Source organism: Homo sapiens, chromosome 12, assembly GCF_000001405.40.
Source record: "Homo sapiens chromosome 12, GRCh38.p14 Primary Assembly".
In the NCBI taxonomy this organism is placed as follows: domain Eukaryota; kingdom Metazoa; phylum Chordata; class Mammalia; order Primates; family Hominidae; genus Homo; species Homo sapiens.
In genome coordinates, this window is record NC_000012.12 from 32738676 (window position 1) to 32757029 (window position 18354).

General features: G+C 40.6%; 2 protein-coding genes across 11 annotated transcripts in view, besides 6 other annotated features; one reads left to right on the forward strand and one right to left on the reverse strand.

Moving 5' to 3' along the window:
- Positions 1-6975, forward strand: part of DNM1L (dynamin 1 like) — a 66350-nt gene extending 59375 nt beyond the window's left edge. For all 10 annotated transcript variants that reach the window (NM_001278464.2, NM_001278465.2, XM_011520543.4 and 7 more), the window contains 4 exons: positions 1389-1565; positions 1734-1843; positions 3914-4073; positions 4679-6975. In NM_001278464.2, coding sequence (NP_001265393.1) covers positions 1389-1565; positions 1734-1843; positions 3914-4073; positions 4679-4735 — 504 coding nt within the window. In that variant the 3' untranslated portion in view covers positions 4736-6975. The remainder of the gene's footprint in view (positions 1-1388; positions 1566-1733; positions 1844-3913; positions 4074-4678) is intronic.
- YARS2 (tyrosyl-tRNA synthetase 2) lies at positions 7869-17222 on the reverse strand. The gene is made up of 5 exons (NM_001040436.3): positions 16421-17222; positions 15243-15410; positions 12044-12199; positions 11262-11432; positions 7869-8688 (listed from the first exon to the last, which is right to left on the reverse strand). The coding sequence occupies exons 1-5, from the start codon at positions 17197-17199 to the stop codon at positions 8529-8531; spliced, it is 1434 nt and encodes a 477-aa protein (NP_001035526.1). The 5' UTR covers positions 17200-17222; the 3' UTR covers positions 7869-8528.
- Positions 16162-16801: an enhancer, noted in NCBI's record as "H3K27ac hESC enhancer chr12:32907771-32908410 (GRCh37/hg19 assembly coordinates)". NCBI's record gives its function as "activates a minimal SCP1, AML or CMV promoter by ChIP-STARR-seq in primed H9 embryonic stem cells {active_cell/tissue: H9 hESC(primed)}" and the evidence as "EXISTENCE:reporter gene assay evidence [ECO:0000049][PMID:30033119]".
- Positions 16358-16517: an enhancer, noted in NCBI's record as "active region_6190". NCBI's record gives its function as "activates an Ori minimal core promoter by ATAC-STARR-seq in GM12878 lymphoblastoid cells {active_cell/tissue: GM12878}" and the evidence as "EXISTENCE:reporter gene assay evidence [ECO:0000049][PMID:35858748]".
- Positions 16802-17441: an enhancer, noted in NCBI's record as "H3K27ac hESC enhancer chr12:32908411-32909050 (GRCh37/hg19 assembly coordinates)". NCBI's record gives its function as "activates a minimal SCP1, AML or CMV promoter by ChIP-STARR-seq in primed H9 embryonic stem cells {active_cell/tissue: H9 hESC(primed)}" and the evidence as "EXISTENCE:reporter gene assay evidence [ECO:0000049][PMID:30033119]".
- Positions 16888-16987: an enhancer, noted in NCBI's record as "active region_6191". NCBI's record gives its function as "activates an Ori minimal core promoter by ATAC-STARR-seq in GM12878 lymphoblastoid cells {active_cell/tissue: GM12878}" and the evidence as "EXISTENCE:reporter gene assay evidence [ECO:0000049][PMID:35858748]".
- Positions 17008-17237: an enhancer, noted in NCBI's record as "active region_6192". NCBI's record gives its function as "activates an Ori minimal core promoter by ATAC-STARR-seq in GM12878 lymphoblastoid cells {active_cell/tissue: GM12878}" and the evidence as "EXISTENCE:reporter gene assay evidence [ECO:0000049][PMID:35858748]".
- Positions 17442-18081: an enhancer, noted in NCBI's record as "H3K27ac hESC enhancer chr12:32909051-32909690 (GRCh37/hg19 assembly coordinates)". NCBI's record gives its function as "activates a minimal SCP1, AML or CMV promoter by ChIP-STARR-seq in primed H9 embryonic stem cells {active_cell/tissue: H9 hESC(primed)}" and the evidence as "EXISTENCE:reporter gene assay evidence [ECO:0000049][PMID:30033119]".

Genomic DNA, 18354 nt, shown 5'->3' on the forward strand with positions numbered 1-18354 from the left:
CTTGTTACCCTATATATAGCTTCACATATGCTTCAGAAGCTTAAGCAAATTAAAAAAACAAATGGGGACTGTGAGAGTTTGAGACTGTTTTCAATTCTTGATAACCATTTTAGAGGAAAATTAAATAATGTATAAATTATTCAGACTCATCGCTATTTCAAGATTTTCTGCCATTTAGCTCCTTTCCTTAATTATCCAGATTTAAAGTTCTGAACTTCAAATAAAGGTTTATAAATGTCTTATCTTCTCTCAGCCCACTGTGCTCAGATATTAATCAAACCATCTAAATCACTGCACAAGTTTTATTTCATTCATGACGTCACACTGAATGTGCTCTCTCTCCTTAAGATTTCATTTGGTATGTCATTCATGTATAGTTAACAAACATTTAAAAATCTAATTACTCATTTTTAAGTTAATGTGTAACATAAATATACTACTTATATTTAAATGTAGTTCACCTTAACTGACATACTAAAGACAGATTTTAGCAAATATTTTGATTCAGAATGATACCTCAAACTACCATTTTTCTAACTGCCATAATCCTCTATTAAACTTATATAATCCATTTTTAGATTGTAAGATCTTAAAGAATACCTAAAAAAAACCCTCTTAAATGTTGATGAATTGTTTTTCCATTATAAAGTCATTTTTGACTTTTAGAAGTCAAGACTAATACATTTTCTAGAAAACAAGGTACAAAAGCACTTGTGATTAATGGTAGCACTAGATTTCTTTCAGCAAATCCTTAAGAGTACAGAGGTTGAGGGGACTTCTGTTGTTTGTCACATTCCGCATTTGAAACAACTCACAGTGACTGTCAGCCTAAGAATAGCAAATGTAGTCTTGCTTTTTGTTAAAGAGTTCTTACTTATACCTTATGGCATTTTTGTTGACTATTAGAAATGTAAATTGAGAAACATATAAACTCTTAAGTTCAGAGACGTAAGTTCATGGAACTTTTAGAGTTTAACAGTGTTAATGATTACTTAAGAAATTAAACTGAATAGCAGTTCTTTGTGCTTTTAACGAGTAGTTTTGTTTTTAAGGGCAGCATATACTTTTCCTACAATTTAGTGTTTGAAGGGTGGGAGAAGAGGAACGATTTTGAAAAGTTAGCGAATGATAAAGAAAAAAGGAATTAAATAGAACATAAGTTGGTTGATGCCTTGCAAACAACTTAGAGCAGAACTTCTTTATTATTTAGATAGGTCAGGGTTCCAGTTATACATGCTACCTAGTGTCTCCTTCTGACCTCATTATCTGTCTGAATAAACTTCAGATGGGTACTGGATGTATATTGACTACTGTCAAATAAAATGAACTTTGTTTTAGTTAAGGTCAGATATGATGTGGTTGGTATGTTTTGGAACATGTTTTTTCAGGTTGCATCTGGAGGTGGTGGGGTTGGAGATGGTGTTCAAGAACCAACCACAGGCAACTGGAGAGGAATGCTGAAAACTTCAAAAGCTGAAGAGTTATTAGCAGAAGAAAAATCAAAACCCATTCCAATTATGCCAGCCAGTCCACAAAAAGGTCATGCCGTGAACCTGCTAGATGTGGTAAGCCATGACAATTTGGTTTAGGTAATAAGGTAGGTGACCAAGTTAGTAGGAAAACGATTAGACAGAAAGAACTAAAAGTCTCAAAAACTTACATAACTTTCAGATGTTAAAGCTGCCATTTTAGTGTCACAAAAGTAATATTTTTTCCCCCTCATCCCTATTTAGCCAGTTCCTGTTGCACGAAAACTATCTGCTCGGGAACAGCGAGATTGTGAGGTTATTGAACGACTCATTAAATCATATTTTCTCATTGTCAGAAAGAATATTCAAGACAGGTTAGTATTACTTAATATAAATGACGGACTTTAATACTTCTGGATGATTCTGTGATCTGTTTTGAAAAATACATGTATTTTTACAATTTTAGGTTTTTATTCTAAATCATCAAGTGGATTTTCTGATAGTCCTTGGGTAACTTGTAGCAAGACCCATTTTGTTAACATAGAATGACTAGGACCTCATGTATCAGCTAGAAAAAGCTATTAAAAATGAGAGATTCTTTTGTTCTATCTGGCTGCCACATTTTGAGTCATTTAAGAAAATCTTTTTCCTAAATTTTAATTTAGTAGTTTCATTAATTATTTTGGCTAGTAACACTGACTTGCCTTTTTAATTTAACTTGGTTTTCCAAAGTATCAAAACGAATGTCTTTTACTAGGAAATATGTGTATTTTTTCTCGTTCAGAATGTTTTTTCATGTGTCTAGTCCCTACTGCATCTTCTCCTTCATGTTGCCTGGTATGTCATTTCATGCAGTAATAGGGAGAATATACATTTAGTTGTGTGAAGTGATCTATTAGAAAATATTCTGCATCCAGTTTTTGGTAATCTGTCAGCAGCTAAGATGAATTTTACTGCACAGAGTAATAAACAGTCTAATACTTCATATTGAAATAAATGATTTTTGTCTGTAGAACCATTTATCTTTTTTGCTTGTAGACTTTTTAAACCCGTAGCTTGTAGTAGAAATAACAGTTCCTAGTGTTTTACACTGTGGGCCTGAAGAAAAAAATTCCATTTGTTTCCTTCCTTGCCCCCATCCTCTGCAGAAGGTGTTTTTGAGATGGAGTCTCGCTTTGTCGCCCAGGCTGGGGTGCAGTGGCGCAGTCTTGGCCCACTTCAACCTCTGCCTTCTGGGTTCAAGCGATTCTCCTGCCTCAGCCTCCTGAGTAGCTGGGATAACAGGTGTGCACCACCATGCCCAGCTAATTTTTGTATTTTTAGTAGAGACGGGTTTCACCATGTTGGCCAGGCTGGTCTCGAACTCCTGACGTCAGGTGATCTACCTGTCTTGGCCTCCCAAAGTGCTGGGATTATAGGCGTGAGCCACTGCACCCGGCTCACTTAATGTTTTTAAGCCTCATCCATACTGTAGTATGAATCAGTATAGTCACGCACCACATAACATTTTAGTCAACAGACCACGTATTTGAATGTGTTCCCGTTAGATTATGATACCATGTTTTTGCTGTACATTTCCTATGTTTAGATACACAAATACTATTGTGTTACAGTTCCCTATTCAGTACAGTAACATGCTGTACATGTTTGCAGCCTGGAGCAATAGGCTATCCCATATAGCTTAGGCGTGTCATAGGCTATACCATCTACGTTTGTGTAAGTACACTCTGTGCTGTGCATGTAATGAAATCACCTAATAATGCATTTCTCAAAGCATATCCGTGTCATTAAGTGACATATCTTTTGTGTGAATAATACTAGATTATGTAGATATACTGTGTTTAAGCATTCATCAGCTGATGTTTGGATTTTTCTCACTTCTTGGCTATTATGAATAAATGCTTATTGAAGAGTTTTGAAATAAAGATGATGAAAAGAAGGTAAAGTATCAAGAATTGTTGCTTTTGTTTTTTTTTTTGAGACACAGTCTCACTCTGTTGCCCAGGCTGGAGTGCAGTGGCGCGTTCTTGGCTCACTGCAATCTCCACCTCCTGGGTTCAAGTGATTCTCGTATCTCAGCCTCCCGAGTAGCTGGGATCACAGGCATGTGCCACCACACTCAGCTAATTTTTTATTTTTAGTGCAGACGGTGTTTCACCATGTTGGCCAGGCTGCTGTCAAACTCCTGGCCTCAAGCAGTCCACCCGCGTCAGCCTCCCAGAGTGCTGGGATTACAGGCATGAGCCACTGCGCCTGGCCGAGAACTGCTTTTCTTAATGTTTAATTACAGTTAAGCAAAAATCTAAAGGGCGATTATGCCATTAATGAAATATCCAAAGTAGTAGTGTTCTTACTTAACTTTATTTCATGAGGTTAGCATCTAAGCCCAAATTGTTAAAAGTAGAATTTTGGCTAAAATTCCATAATTTGGTTGTGTTTTGCAGTGTGCCAAAGGCAGTAATGCATTTTTTGGTTAATCATGTGAAAGACACTCTTCAGAGTGAGCTAGTAGGCCAGCTGTATAAATCATCCTTATTGGATGATCTTCTGACAGAATCTGAGGACATGGCACAGCGCAGGAAAGAAGCAGCTGATATGCTAAAGGTATTGTGGACCTTTTGATTTTTTATACTTGGGTAGTAGATAGAAACATAGAAATAGTTTTAAATGCAGTTTGATTCTTGGATATGTATAGTCTTTATATTCTAGCTAGGCTTGTTTCCTGTTGGTACTTGATAAGAATCTTTTTTTTTTTTTTTTTTTTTTTTTGAGTGGGAGTCTGGCTCTGTCGCCCAGGCTGGAGTGCAGTGGCACAATCTCGGCTCACTGCAAGCGCCGCCTCCCAGGTTCACGCCATTCTCCTGCCTCAGCCTCCCGAGTAGCTGGGACTACAGGCGCCCACCACCACACCCAGCTAATTTTTTGTATTTTTAGTAGAGACGGGGTTTCACCATGTTAGCCAGGATAGTCTCTAACTCCTGACCTCATGATCCGCCCGCCTCGACCTCCCAAAGTGCTGGGATTACAGGCATGAGCCACTGCGCCTGGCCGGTACTTGATTAGATTCTAATTCCAGAGAAGATATTGGTTAGTATAAACTGGTTAGTTATAAACCTACCACATATATATTGGAAAAATTACCCTGCGTAATTCAGATTAATTTCATAACTTTATAATAAGCATTTAAAATTTTTTTTCCTTTAATGCAGGCATTACAAGGAGCCAGTCAAATTATTGCTGAAATCCGGGAGACTCATCTTTGGTGAAGAGAACTATGTAATACTGAGACTTTGTTGACTCAAAACTTGCTAGTTACTGCCTACCTGAGTAGAATCTTATTTATGAACTCCTGTGTATTGCAATGGTATGAATCTGCTCATGTGGAGACTGGCTATAAACTGAAAAGTGTATTCCAAATTGCAGAACACATCACACATTTAATCCAAATAATAAATGGCTGTTTCTAAAGTTTCCCAGTATATATAAAATACATCAAGTCTGTCTTGTGACAGTTTCATCTGAACTTAACTTAAAAACAACTGTTAATGTTCTAGTTGTGCAAAGCAGTTTGCCTGTGGATAAGATGACCTGTGTAATAATCTTTGTTAGTAGTCTTAAAGCTGCTGCCATAGTCCTCCAAGAAGAAAGCACCAAGACAACATTTCATATGACTATAATGCATGTACTATATAAGCTGATCTGGCTTTGAAAGATGTGAGTTGGCAAGTTCCTCACATAGAGTCATTGTATTCCACCTGTCCTTCAATTTAGTTTTTTCTGAGCTTCTTTGCAGCCTTTGATGTGTTTTTAAGAAAGCTGAATGCACAAGAGGATCTGTGACACTGACATGGCTGTGGTGTGCATACTGTGTAGTTACATAGCCCTTCCAATTCTGGGTCCATTTGCACTAGCAAATTAAAATATGCTTTGATTCATACTTAAACCTGAAAGCAGGAATGCCTACATTAATTCCTACATTAAAAACAGCCATCTACCCTTGATTATCTAGAAAGACTTGGTAATGATGGTCAGTTCCTTTTAGATTTCAGAAAATCAAATGATGACCTAAATTTCCCTTAATTTGCAAATACAGTAGTAATTAAGGTACATCTCTAAAGTGGAGCACTTACACCAGGCTCTAAGATTCACTTTGAGGTGGAACTTAAAACCAGTGTACTGTATGTATGCATTGGTAATAGCTACTTTTGCTTCATAGCTTCATACCAACAAAATATATTTATTAGAATAGTATGAAAGTACTGGAGGAGCTGAAAGAAAAACACCCAAGGCTGGGCGTGGTGGCACACGCCTGTAATCCCAGCACTTTGGGAGGCCGAGGCAGGTGGATCACCTGAGGTTGGGAGTTGGAGACCAGCTTGACCAACATGGAGAAACCCCGTCTCTACTAAAAATACAAAATTGGCCGGGCGTGGTGGCGCATGCCTGTAATCCCAGCTACTCGGGAGGGTGAGGCAGGAGAATTGCTTGACCCTGGGAGGTGGAGGTTGTGGTGAGCTAAGATCGTGCCATTGCACTCCAGCCTTGGCAACAAGAGCGAAACTCCGTCTCAAAAAAAAAAAATAAAACAACACCCAGATAGATACACATACTCCTTCAGACTTACAGACCTAAGCTGCATTTATGGGGTAGTGATGAGGTTTAGAACATATACATATTTTGTTAAAATTCCCCAGATGATTCTTGGTATGAACGACTATATTATAAATTTTAAGATGTACTTAGAAATCCTTAAGACATCTAGCCCCGTCTCTAATAGACAACACATTTATATTGCAGATATTACTTTTTTTTCAGTTTATGACCAGGTATTTATGAAGGACTATTGGCAGGGAAAATATGAATATGTTAACTTTAGCTTATGGCATCAATTTACTAAGGAACAACAGGCTCACCAACTGATGTCAAACATAAAAACCCCCACATCAGTCTGATACGATATGGTACTACTTTGAATCTGTTACTAGTACCATCTTGACAGAGGATACATGCTCCCAAAACGTTTGTTACCACACTTAAAAATCACTGCCATCATTAAGCATCAGTTTCAAAATTATAGCCATTCATGATTTACTTTTTCCAGATGACTATCATTATTCTAGTCCTTTGAATTTGTAAGGGGAAAAAAAACAAAAACAAAAACTTACGATGCACTTTTCTCCAGCACATCAGATTTCAAATTGAAAATTAAAGACATGCTATGGTAATGCACTTGCTAGTACTACACACTTTGTACAACAAAAAACAGAGGCAAGAAACAACGGAAAGAGAAAAGCCTTCCTTTGTTGGCCCTTAAACTGAGTCAAGATCTGAAATGTAGAGATGATCTCTGACGATACCTGTATGTTCTTATTGTGTAAATAAAATTGCTGGTATGAAATGACACTAAAGTTTGTCAAAAAATGAATTCTTAACTTTTCTCCCAGAGAAAGGGAGACAAAAGGAGCTTTTTAATACCTAATCTACTTTGGAACATAACCGTATAGAGTACGAAAAATTTTACGACTTTTTTCCTACCAGATTCTGACAGTTCACCAAGGTATTATAACATCTCCATTTTTGCGTATGAAGACAGTGACTTGCTCCAAGTAATCCAGGTAGTAAATGGCTAGAATTTGAACACTAAAGCCATGCTCTGCTGCCTGTAAGGTTTTCAAAAGAAATCTGATTAATCATTTCGTATGTGATTCACTTGATCCTCAAGGCAACAGGGATGCCATTGCCTTGATTTTTCAGATATGGAAATAGTTCTGGAGAATTAATTTGCCTCATGTTTGAAGAGCTGAACTCAGTCTTGATTCCAAATCCTTTAAGTTTGACCTGAAAACTTTCCTTACCTGGATACTTTTTGATATTCTCATATGATTGCATATTTGGTATAATTGGCTTTATTTTTGGGGGGTTAACTTTTTAATTTACCTCAAGTTGCAATCTGCTTGGGGGGAAAAGCTGAAACTTAAAACCAATTTAAGTTTCTAAATTTATAAAACATTGCTACCTTAGGAATCCACTGACAACAAGGCTTAATGTGAACAGAATTATACTGGAACACAGGCAAGGAACCAGAAAACTGAATTAGAAACTTTCTGAAAAGTCACGTACTGATTTTTGTACTATTATTTGTAAAGAAACTACTTACTGTAATTTCTCAAAGCAACCATGGCCTCATCTAACTTTTTCTCCTTTTTAAGAACTACATTTGCTCTCTGAACTACAAAAAAATCAAATTTCTATTCAAAGTTTCTAATACTAGTTTTCCCATTTCTAATGTGGACACTAGAGGCCCTGATGATTTTATAAACAACTATATAACATTAGTGACATCGGTGCTCCATACCTGATAGAAAAGCAGCTACAATTCCTTTTTTTTTTTTTTTTTTTTGAGACAGAGTTTCACTCACTACTCATGCTGTCTCCCAGGCTGGAGTGCAGTGGCGTGATCTCAGCTCACTGCAACCTCCATCTCCTGGGTTCAAGTGATTCTCGCAGCTCAGCCTCTTGAGTAGCTGGGGTTACAGGTGCCTGCAACCACATCTGGCTAATTTTTATATTTTCAGTAGAGACGGGGTTTCGCCCTGTTGGCCAGGCTGGTCTCAAACTCCTGGCCTCAAGCGATTTGCCCACCTTGGCCTCCCGAAGTGCTGGGATTACAGGTGTGAGCCACCATGCCCAGCCTCACAATTCCTTACACTACCTCTTTTTCATTGTTCCTCATCACTACAAAAAGGAGAGCAGGAAGGGTAAGATAGGAAAGCAGCATTTCTTTCTCTTCTGAAGTATAATTTTAAAAAGAGATTAACCCTGAAAATCATGGTTTTCTATGGTAATCAAGCTTTGTACATCAGAAAATAAAACATCCCATTATTAAACAAATATTTATTAACCGGCCCATAAAAATAATGAAGTTACTCACACTGAGTCCTAGTCCATTCTGTTTTTCTGATTTGCATAAGCAAAGGTCTAAGTTCTGGAGCCAACCCTTCAGAGGTCTTGAGAATGAATGATGGGTAAGTTTATTTGGACAACCAGAAGGACTTTTCATCACAACTGAAGCCATTTTATAATGTAGAAATTTCTTTTTCCTATTTTAAGTAAGGAAAGTCCATTCTTGAGAATATGTTGTCCAACAATTAAAACACTCTCAGGATTTGTTACTTGTTGGTGATTTATGCTGACTCCGCCTTCTGTTATCATTCGATACCTAAAAAATAGAAACGTTTAGTAAGTAGAGAGATCCAATCACTGTTGATCTGTCCCCCAAAAAAGACTGTTTCACTTAGATTTCAGAGGCTCTCCAATTGAGAAGATTTCATTTGGCACTGGACTGTTACCTTCATGTTTGCTCTATTATTAATAGATTCTGCCTCTCTTTACTGCTCTTTGTTTTTTGTTGTTTGTTTTTGAAACACATTCTTGCTCTGTAGCCCAGGCTGGCATGATCTCAGCTCACTGCAACCTCCGCCTCCTGTGTTCTAAGTGATTCTCCTGCCTCAGCCTCCAGAGTAGCTGCGATTACAGGTGCATGCCACCACACCTGGCTAATTTTGTATTTTTAGTAGAGATGGGTTTCGCCATGTTAGCCAGGCTGGTCTCAAACTCCCAACCTCAAGTGATCCACCTGCCTTGGCCTCCCAAAGTGCTGGGATTACAGGTGTGAACCACTGTGTCTGGCCGGAATTTACGCCTTGCAATCTGCTCTTTTAAAGACTCCGTCTCAAGAAAAAAAAAGAAAGACCTAGGAGAAGTTGTTCTAGGAGCACACTGGGTAGGTGAGGGCTGAACATTTCACTGAAAAAAGAGATACTTAAACTGGGAGTGAAGCTACCTTGACAATCAGGGCAGGAAACATGGGAGCAGCTAGAAAGAGGTGAGATCTGAGAAGACAGGGCTACAGCGTGGCTAGATCTTGGAAGTCCTTAAGAAAGAAAAATGGTGGTTTTCTCTCATCTGAATGTTACCAAATAAAATTAAGAAACCACTACTGGACATGGTTTTAAAGATATTTTTATACCTTTATTTTTGGGTAGAGACGGAGTCTCACTACGTCCTTGCCCACACAGATCTTGAACTCCTGGCCCCAAGCAATCCTCCCGCCCTCAGCCTCCCGAAGTGCTGGGATTACAAATGTGAGCCACCATACCTGGCCATGGACATGGTTTTATAAAACTCATCAGTAAAATATTTTCTACTTAAGGCCAGATTCCTTTCTTTTAGGAAGTATTATTTTACGCTGTCTGCTAGTTTCCAGATCATGTTCTATGTTTAATTTAAATGCACCAAACCTATTTAGCTTATATAATATTAAAAAAAAAAATCAGTATTACTTAGAGCCCTGGCTAAATCAGATGTGGTGTCATTTTTAGTAGTGGTAAAGCTTCCAGTATTAGCGAACACACTATAGTAAAGTTCAGAAGAAAACGAAATCTGCTTCCATAGTGAGGAAAATTATTTGTCTCGCTGACATACTACAGGGAAGTATATGACACCAGCCTCAAATTCACTGTGTGTTAAACCAGCAGATGAGGGAATCACTAAGGTGGAGTGGCAGGTGATGCAAAGGGAGACAATGGGTGCTTTTTCCAGGCAGAATAGTCTAGGACTCTTTAGGACACAGGCAAACAATCCAAGACAGTTGAAAGAGAACAACTATAACAAATGTCATTCATAATCATGGCCATGATATGGCCGATAACCATTTGACTTCTGTGTGAACTCCTGCAAAAGAGGCACCTGGGGGTCTTCTGGCTACCCAACACTTTTCCTTCCACCTCACTGTTCATTTAAAAATGGATAAGCATCAATTATATGCTGAATTATTTTTTGTGAAAAACCTTATTTACTCCTTAATACCTCATAACTGATTAATTAAAATATTCTACTCAATTCCTGAATAGAAAATGCAATTCTCAAGGGGATTATTATATAGTTTACAATAATAGTCTTATGACGTTAGTAGGTTAGTGCAAAAGTACTTGCGGTTTTGGCCATTATATGCTCATTTCATTTTCAGAAATTCAGTTAATACTATAGATAGGTTAGGTAACCTTTCCCATCCCCGAATATAAAAAGGATACAGACTATGAGAGGGGCTGTGTTAATCTGTTACATAGGGCCTCTGTTTCTGCATCCCTCTAAAACTGTGACCATATCCCTAAGCCGTACACTGATGCCAGTGTATTTACTGAACATGTCCCTCAAATGCACTTTTCCAGTGTTGGAGGAAAGACTGACTGGGTTAGATATAATAAGAGACAGTATAGGAGTACTGTACTATTATAGAAAATATAAAGTATTTTCAACAATAAGTACTCTCAGGCTATACTTTATTCTTGGACTAAACTAACTTTTCTAAGGAAGAGATGCCACTAAAGCACTATCAGGAAAACATCCTCTCTGGAAACACATGCTGTGAACTGTAACATTTTATTTATTTTTTGAGACAGAGTCTTGCTCTGTCACCCAGGCTGGAGTGCAGTGGTGGGATCTCCGCTCACTGCAAGCTCTGCCTCCCGGGTTGATGCCATTCTCCTGCCTCAGCCTCCCAAGTAGCTGGGACTACAGGCGCCTGCCACCATGCCCGGCTAATTTGTATTTTTAGTAGAGACAGGGTTTCACCGTGTTAGCCAGGATGGTCTCGATCTCCTGACCTCGTGATCTGCCCGCCTCGGCCTCCCAATGTGCTGTGATTACAGGCATGAGCCACTTCTCCTGGCCTTGTGAACTGTAACATTTAATGGTGAATTAACTGTAAATCTAAAAGTTAAATAATCTTACCCTCGGGGACCATCTGGAATGGCATTTGCTTTGCGGCAAGTATCTAGGACACTTGTTCCAGGATCGAGAAAAAATTCAGAAAATGGAGCTTCTTTAAACAACTCTTTTAACTCCTGATCAGACATGACCTCCAGTGCATCTATGCTACTGTGATAAAGGGCTTGTGTACACCTGAAAAACACATTTTAAGAGCTACATCATATAAATGTTTATTCAAATACATGTTCTAATACCCATTAACCAATTATAGAGTGTCCAAGTTCTAGACTAAAAGTTTTTTTTTGAGATGGAGTCTCGCTCTGTTGCCCCGGCTGGATTGCAATGGCATGATCTCGGCTCACAGCAACCTCTGCCTCCCGGGTTCAGGCGATTCTCCTGCCTCAGCCTCCTGAGTAGCTGGGATTACAGACGTGTGCCACCACGCCCAGCTAAGTTTTGTATTTTTAGTAGAGATGGGGGTTTCACCATGTTGGTCAGGCTGGTCTCGAACTCCTGACCTCGTGATCAGCCCACCTTGGCCTCCCAAAGTGCTGGGATTACAGGCGTGAGCCACCGCGCCCGGCATAGACTAAAAGTTTTTTAAACATCTATCTGGTATAATTCATAAACTTAATTCAAGATAATCCTTCTTTCCAATAAACAGGGGCTATTTTAAATTGCTAAGTCAAATACTGACAGTCCTTGTGATAAATGACAAGATAATCCTAAAACATACTCCTACTTTTCTCATGTCTATCCACTGAATAACTAACTATCAAGTGTTAATCATACTAAACTACTACCTTTTAGCAGAATCCAATCCTTCTCGTCCATGAACAAGCTTTGTTACTTCTGCTGCCAGTCGTTTCTGAGGACCCCGCCTTTCTGGCTCTTTGACATGCAGCTGCATGATATGATCAATCTCTGGAAGGGGCAGGAAAGTGAACAGCTTCAGGTACCTTTGAGACAAAAAATAAAGAGTTACACTTATATAACATACCTAATTTTTATCTCCAGCTCTTCTACCCTTTAAGGTTATCCTGCTTACTTTTAAATATGAAACAAACATACAGAAATGTACTGAACATAGTAGGTCCCATGCACACATCACCCAGATTTAAGGTGTTACTATTTTGGCATCTTTGTTTTCAATTTCTTTTTTTTTTTTTTGAGATGGGGGTCTTGCTGTTGCCCAGGCTGGAGTGCAGTGGCATGATCATGGCTCACTGTAACCTCAACCTCCTGGGCTCAAGCAATTCTACCACCTCTGCCTCCCAAGCAGCCGGGACCACAGGCTTGTGCCACCACGCCTGGCTAATTTTTATATTTTTTTTGTAAAGACGGGGTCTCCTGTGTTGCCCAGGCTGGTCTCAAACTCCTGGGCTCAAGTGATCCTCTTGTCTCAGCCTCCCAAAGTGTTGGGATTATGGGCAGGAGCCACCAAGCCCAGCCTCGTATTTTCTTTTTAAAAGGAACAAAATAGGCATAGATGAAGGCCGCAGTCCAATCACATTCCCTTCCTTGCCCCGAGATAATCATAAATCTAAGTTTATGTGCTGCCATCTTTCCCAAGCATGTTTTTATACTTTCATGTGCATGTGGCCATAAAAAAAAAGTACTGTGTAATTTTAAAAACTGATATAAATCATCATGCTCTGCATAATGATGTTTCTGTCAATGATGGACTACATATATCCGCGGTCCCCAACCTTTTTGGCACCACGAGGCGGCGGGGAGGGGAGGTGGTTTCAGAATGAAACTGTTCCACTTCAGATCATCAGGCATTTGTTGGATCCTCAAAAGGAATGCGCAACCTAGATCTCTTGCATGCGCAGTTCACAATAGGGTTTGTGCTCCTATGAGAATCTAATGCAACCGTGGATCTGACAGGAGATGGAGCCCAGGTGTAATGCTCGCTCGCCTGCCACTCAGCTCCTGTTGCGCAGCCCTGTTCCTAACAGGCCACGGACTGGTACAGTCCAACAGTGGTTCATAACATTATAATACCATAGTTTACTGTACTTTTTCTATGTTTACGTATACAAATACTTACCCTCGCGTTATCACTGCCTTCAGTATTTAGTACAGTAATGTGCTGTATGTGCTTCTACCCTGGGAGCAACAGGGTACACTGTATAGCCTAAGTGTGTAGTAGGCTATGCTATCTATGTTTGTGCAGGGACACTCTACGATATTTGCAATGATGAAATCACCTAACAACACACTTCCCAGAATGTATCCCTATTGTTAAGTGATATATGACTATAATATCATCCTATATGTATTCTCTTTTTCTTTGGTGAAATATATATAACACACAGAAAAAAGTACATTATTCACAAAGATATAGCTTAATGAATCATAAAACATCTATGTAACCATCACCATGGTCAAGAAATACAGTATTGGGCCGGGCGCAGTGGCTCACGTCTGTAATCAAATAGTGAGTTTGGCAGAGTTGCTAGATTTAAAGGTAATATATATAAAGTAATTGTATTTCTATACACCAGAACCAGATAGAAAATGCAATTTTTGAAAAGATTATCTAAATTCTCTAGGCCGGGTGCGGTAGCTCAAGCCTGTAATCCCAGCACTTTGGGAGGCTGAGGAAGGTGGATCACTTGAGGTCAGGAGTTCGAGACCAGCCTGGCCAACATGGCGAAACCCTGCCTCTACAAAAATACAAAAATTAGCTGGGCATGGTGGCGCATGCCTGTAGTCCTAGCTACTCAGGAGAATCACTTGAACCCAGGAGGCGGAGGTTGCAATGAGCCAAGATCATGCCACTACACTCTAGCCTGGGCAACAAAGTGAGACACTGCCTCAAAAAAAAAAAAAAAAAAAAAAAAAGATTATCAATTCTCAATACATCAAAACCCCAGGACTATATCGTCAAACATTCTAGGACTAAATCTAAAGAGAAAAAAACACAATTACCAAAATTTTGTAATAAGGCATGATAATCTTCCACTCTGTTCTTCAAAAACATCTTGGCCAATCTTAGCCCTTTTTATTTCTATGTCAGTGTTACAATGAGCTTGTCAAGTTCCACAAAAAGCCGGTTTAGATATGGTTGGCACTGTACTAAATGTAGATCAAATCCAGAACTGGTATCTTGGCCGGGTGCGGGGGCTCATGCTGTAATCCCAGCACTTTGGGAGTCTGAGGCAGGTTTATCGCTTGAGTCCAGGAGTCTGAGACCAGCCTGGGGAACAAGGTGAAACTCCACCATTACTAAAAAAAAAATACAAAATTAGCTGGGCATGGTGGTGTGCACCTGAGCCTGGGAATTTCAGGCTACAGTGAGCCAAGACTGCGTCACTACACTCTAGCCTGGGCAATGGGAGTGAGATTCTGTTTCAAAAAATACAAAAAAGAACTGATATTATTTTTGTACTATGAATATGGTCTAACTCTCCATTTATGTAGGTCTTTATTTTGCTCAATAGCATCTTTTAATATTTTGCAGGAAAGTCATATACCTTTTAAGTCTTAAAGAATTATTCCTAGATTACTTTGATGTTACAGAGCATCAAAATATTTTTTTCACTTTTTGTTGCAGGTATATTTGTTTCTCATTAATTCATATTCTTCCAAGAGTTTAAGGCAATTTGATTTAAGGAGAAATCATTTCTTAAGAGGATCTTTAAAGTCATATTTGTGAGAGAAGAGAGACAAAGGAAAAATAAGGGTAGTCAAGGTTAAGTTGAAAGGAGTGAAAAAACTAGAATATGCAGGTGATAAAATCCTAAGAACTTGCTAGATACAGATCAAAAAGTTGGCTCTACATTTTCTAGCCACCCACTGTTTTTCTGCTTTAACCAACAAAGTGTTTAACTTTAGAACACAGTAAAAATTAGTCTTCTATGATGTAATGGTTTATGTACAGACAGAAACTACGTTAAAAACAAAAAAACTATAAAATGTACATAGATTCAATGGCTAAAATTACATCATGAGTTTATGGTGTCAGTTTTTCTCAGCCCATTATTCAGAACTCACCTTTCCACTGAATCGTCCGGTTGCCTGACAAAGAATTGATACAATTCAAATGGAGATGTCTTATCTCTGTTTAGCCAAACAGCGTTGCCAGCAGACTTTCCCAGCTTTGCTCCAGTTGTACTTGTAATTAGAGGAACGGTGATTCCAAATACATCTTCTCCAGTCAACCTACGCATAAAGAACAATTTCATTATGTGCCTCAAGCACAAGTGGTGGTAGGTTCTACTGTTCACCTTCCAGATTTCTTTCTGGTTACTTGCTCCAGGAAAACTTCCTTGACCTCCTAAATCTGAATTCTTGTTCCTCTTATGTATTGTTACAGTACTTACTCTATTCATTCTGAACCTCATGAGTGGTTCCAGGCAGGTTCTAGGCAGGCCAAGGGGAAGTGCTACATAACAATGGACTAGAGATTTTGAAAGGCTGAGTGGGAAGGAGAAAACTGGGTGAAGGGGTGTCAGGAAGAGACACTAAAGGAAATCTTCTAAACGCCTTTTAAACATGTGCTTTGCTCTGTTGCACATGAGCTAGCCCTATCCTTCACCTCTCTCAAGAAAATGCTATTAGACCCGCATTACTTGTCAATTATTTGGAGTTGAAAAAACTTTTTGAGATACCAACCAAGGACTAACACTAGTTTCATGGAGGGTGCAGAGCTAAAGCAGAGGCTAGCTACTCAAGGAGGCCCAGTCACGTTCTGGTATAAACACACAAAAGCAGTTTCTCTAATTAGAGAGGACGACTTAGGCGAAGCAAAACAGACCGACCAAATCTTCACTAGTGGTCTGTTTCCCTTTTTTTTTTTTTTTTTTTTGAGACGGAGTCTCCCTCTGTTGCCCCAGGCTGGAGTGCAGTGGCGCGATCTCGGCTCACTGAAACCTTCGCCTCCCGGGTTCAAGAGATTCTCCTGCCTCAGCCTCCCGAATAGCTGGGATTACAGGCGTGCATCACCACGCCCAGCTAATTTTTAGAATACACCGTTTACTCTTAATACCCTTAATTCAGCCCTTTAATTCTTATTAGCCAGTGTTATTAACGCCATTATAGAGCCTTAATGGGGATAAAACCAACAAGAGCTGGAACGAAGGGCAGCAACTACAATCCTAAGAGTGAATCACAGGCTACTAGTGTGTAAATTATTTGGTCCCAGGATTTCCCCAAGGTTTAAAGGCACTTACTTGTTGATGAACTCATATCCGGACATGATGTTGCCTAGTTGATCAGATCCGCCCAGCTGGACCCTGCATCCATAACGCTGGAAGAGGTAATAGAAGTCATAGGCCTGGAGCACCTGGTAAAAGAACTCGGCCAAGCTCATGCCCTCGGGGCTCTTGAGCCGCAGCTGCACGCTCTGCCGGCTCAGCAGCGTCCCCATGCGGAAGTGACCCCCCACTGCCGCCAGGAAGTCCACCAGGTGCTGCTTCTGGTACCAGGCCGAGTTGTCCAGCACAGTGAAGCTGCCCCAGGAGCGCCCATCAGTGAAAAGCTGCTGGTGATTAGCCGCCAGGGCCTCAAGCCCTAGGCGCAGAGCTCGCGCGTTGGCTCGCACGCGCTCTGTCTCCAGCGCCTCGCGTTCCTTGGTACGGCCGCTCGGGTCTCCCAGGCGCGCCGTGGCGCCTCCCACCAGCGCGATCACGTTGTGGCCCGCTCGCTGCAAATGAAACAGGCCCAGCAGCGCAAGTAGATGACCCACATGAAGCGAGTCTGCCGTGGGGTCGAAGCCACAGTAAATGGTTTGGGGAAAACTCGCCGTGCCACGGTCGAAGAGCTCTGGGAGCTCTATTTTCGTCCCCGTCTCCGGGAAGAAGTCCTTGAACAGACCTCGAGCCTTCTGCGCTGCCAGTAACCCCTGAGCGCCCGAGTGGGCCTTACGCAGCCCCAAGGGCAACAATACTGAGAGATTTAGGGTACCAGACCACCGGCCCCAGGAAAAGGACCGCAAGATGGGCGCCGCCATCTTGGTAGCGGCACGAAGGGAATGCTGGGATTGCAGAGGCTCCCACCACACCCACCTACTTACAGCTCCTAGGGAAGGTGCTTCAGTGTTTTTCTGCGCATGCCCGAGACGGTTACGTAGTTACGGAGCTTGCGCTCTCAGCAGTTGAGTCCCGACTCCAAGTGGCGATTCCGCCTCAGAGCCGTCGCCTTACGTTCCCTTAAACTTAATTTTTCCATCAGCAGTGTGGATCTGCTTATGATAGTTCCTACCTCATAAGGCTGTTGTGAGCCTTAAAAATTAAAGCATTTGGCACATAACGCTTCACAAATGCTAACTTGTATTTACATTTTCACGTAAAAAGATTGTGATGCGCAAGTTCTTTGAAGTCTTGGTTCCATGCAAAAAGCTGTTCACAGAGGTTGAGAAAGGTTAGGAATTGGTTTAAGTTCGCGGAGAGATAGGGAGTTGCTGCTGAGACGCAAGCAATTTCATAGTACCGATTCCCTAATTGCACCTCGTCCCCAGTATTCATCGGCTCTTCCAGGAGGTGGCAGTCTTGTCCAAGGTATAGCAAGAAAAACTCAGTGCAATAAAGTACATGCATCAAGTCCTGTGGTTTATTTATTTTAAATACAGTTAACTAGGTTGGGACACAGCTTAGCATGAGTGGATTCAAGTTAGTAATCACATCGTGCAGCGTGACAGGTGCTCTGAATACTGACCAGGGATGAGGTTCTTATTGGCAGCTGGCTGGCAGGTGATCTAGCTTCAAAATCCCATGTTAGAGCCTGATTTCTAGGACCGCTTTCAAAATCGTCTTAGGTAGAATTCCCTGGACTCTGAGTTGGGGGGGAGACTGGTTTGCAGGAGGGTAATTGGAGTGTGCTCTTAAGAACAACACCTATAATGGAGTGAGGGAGGCCGGGTTGGGCGGAGGGAGAAAGAAGTTGAACTGTGAACAATTTGTAATAGAGGCCTCAGGCAATCCAGTAAGGGCTCTGGAGCCGGGATTTCCTTTCAGAGTCATCCTGAATTGAGGCCAGGGGGCAGACCTTTAGACCCTCTTACTGACTGCTCATTAAATGTGGGATGTTTCTGGGGAGGAAGCAAAACGCTGGGTTAAGGCTTTTGGAGAGTGAGATGTGCAGGAAGGGACTCAGCTGTGAGCAATAA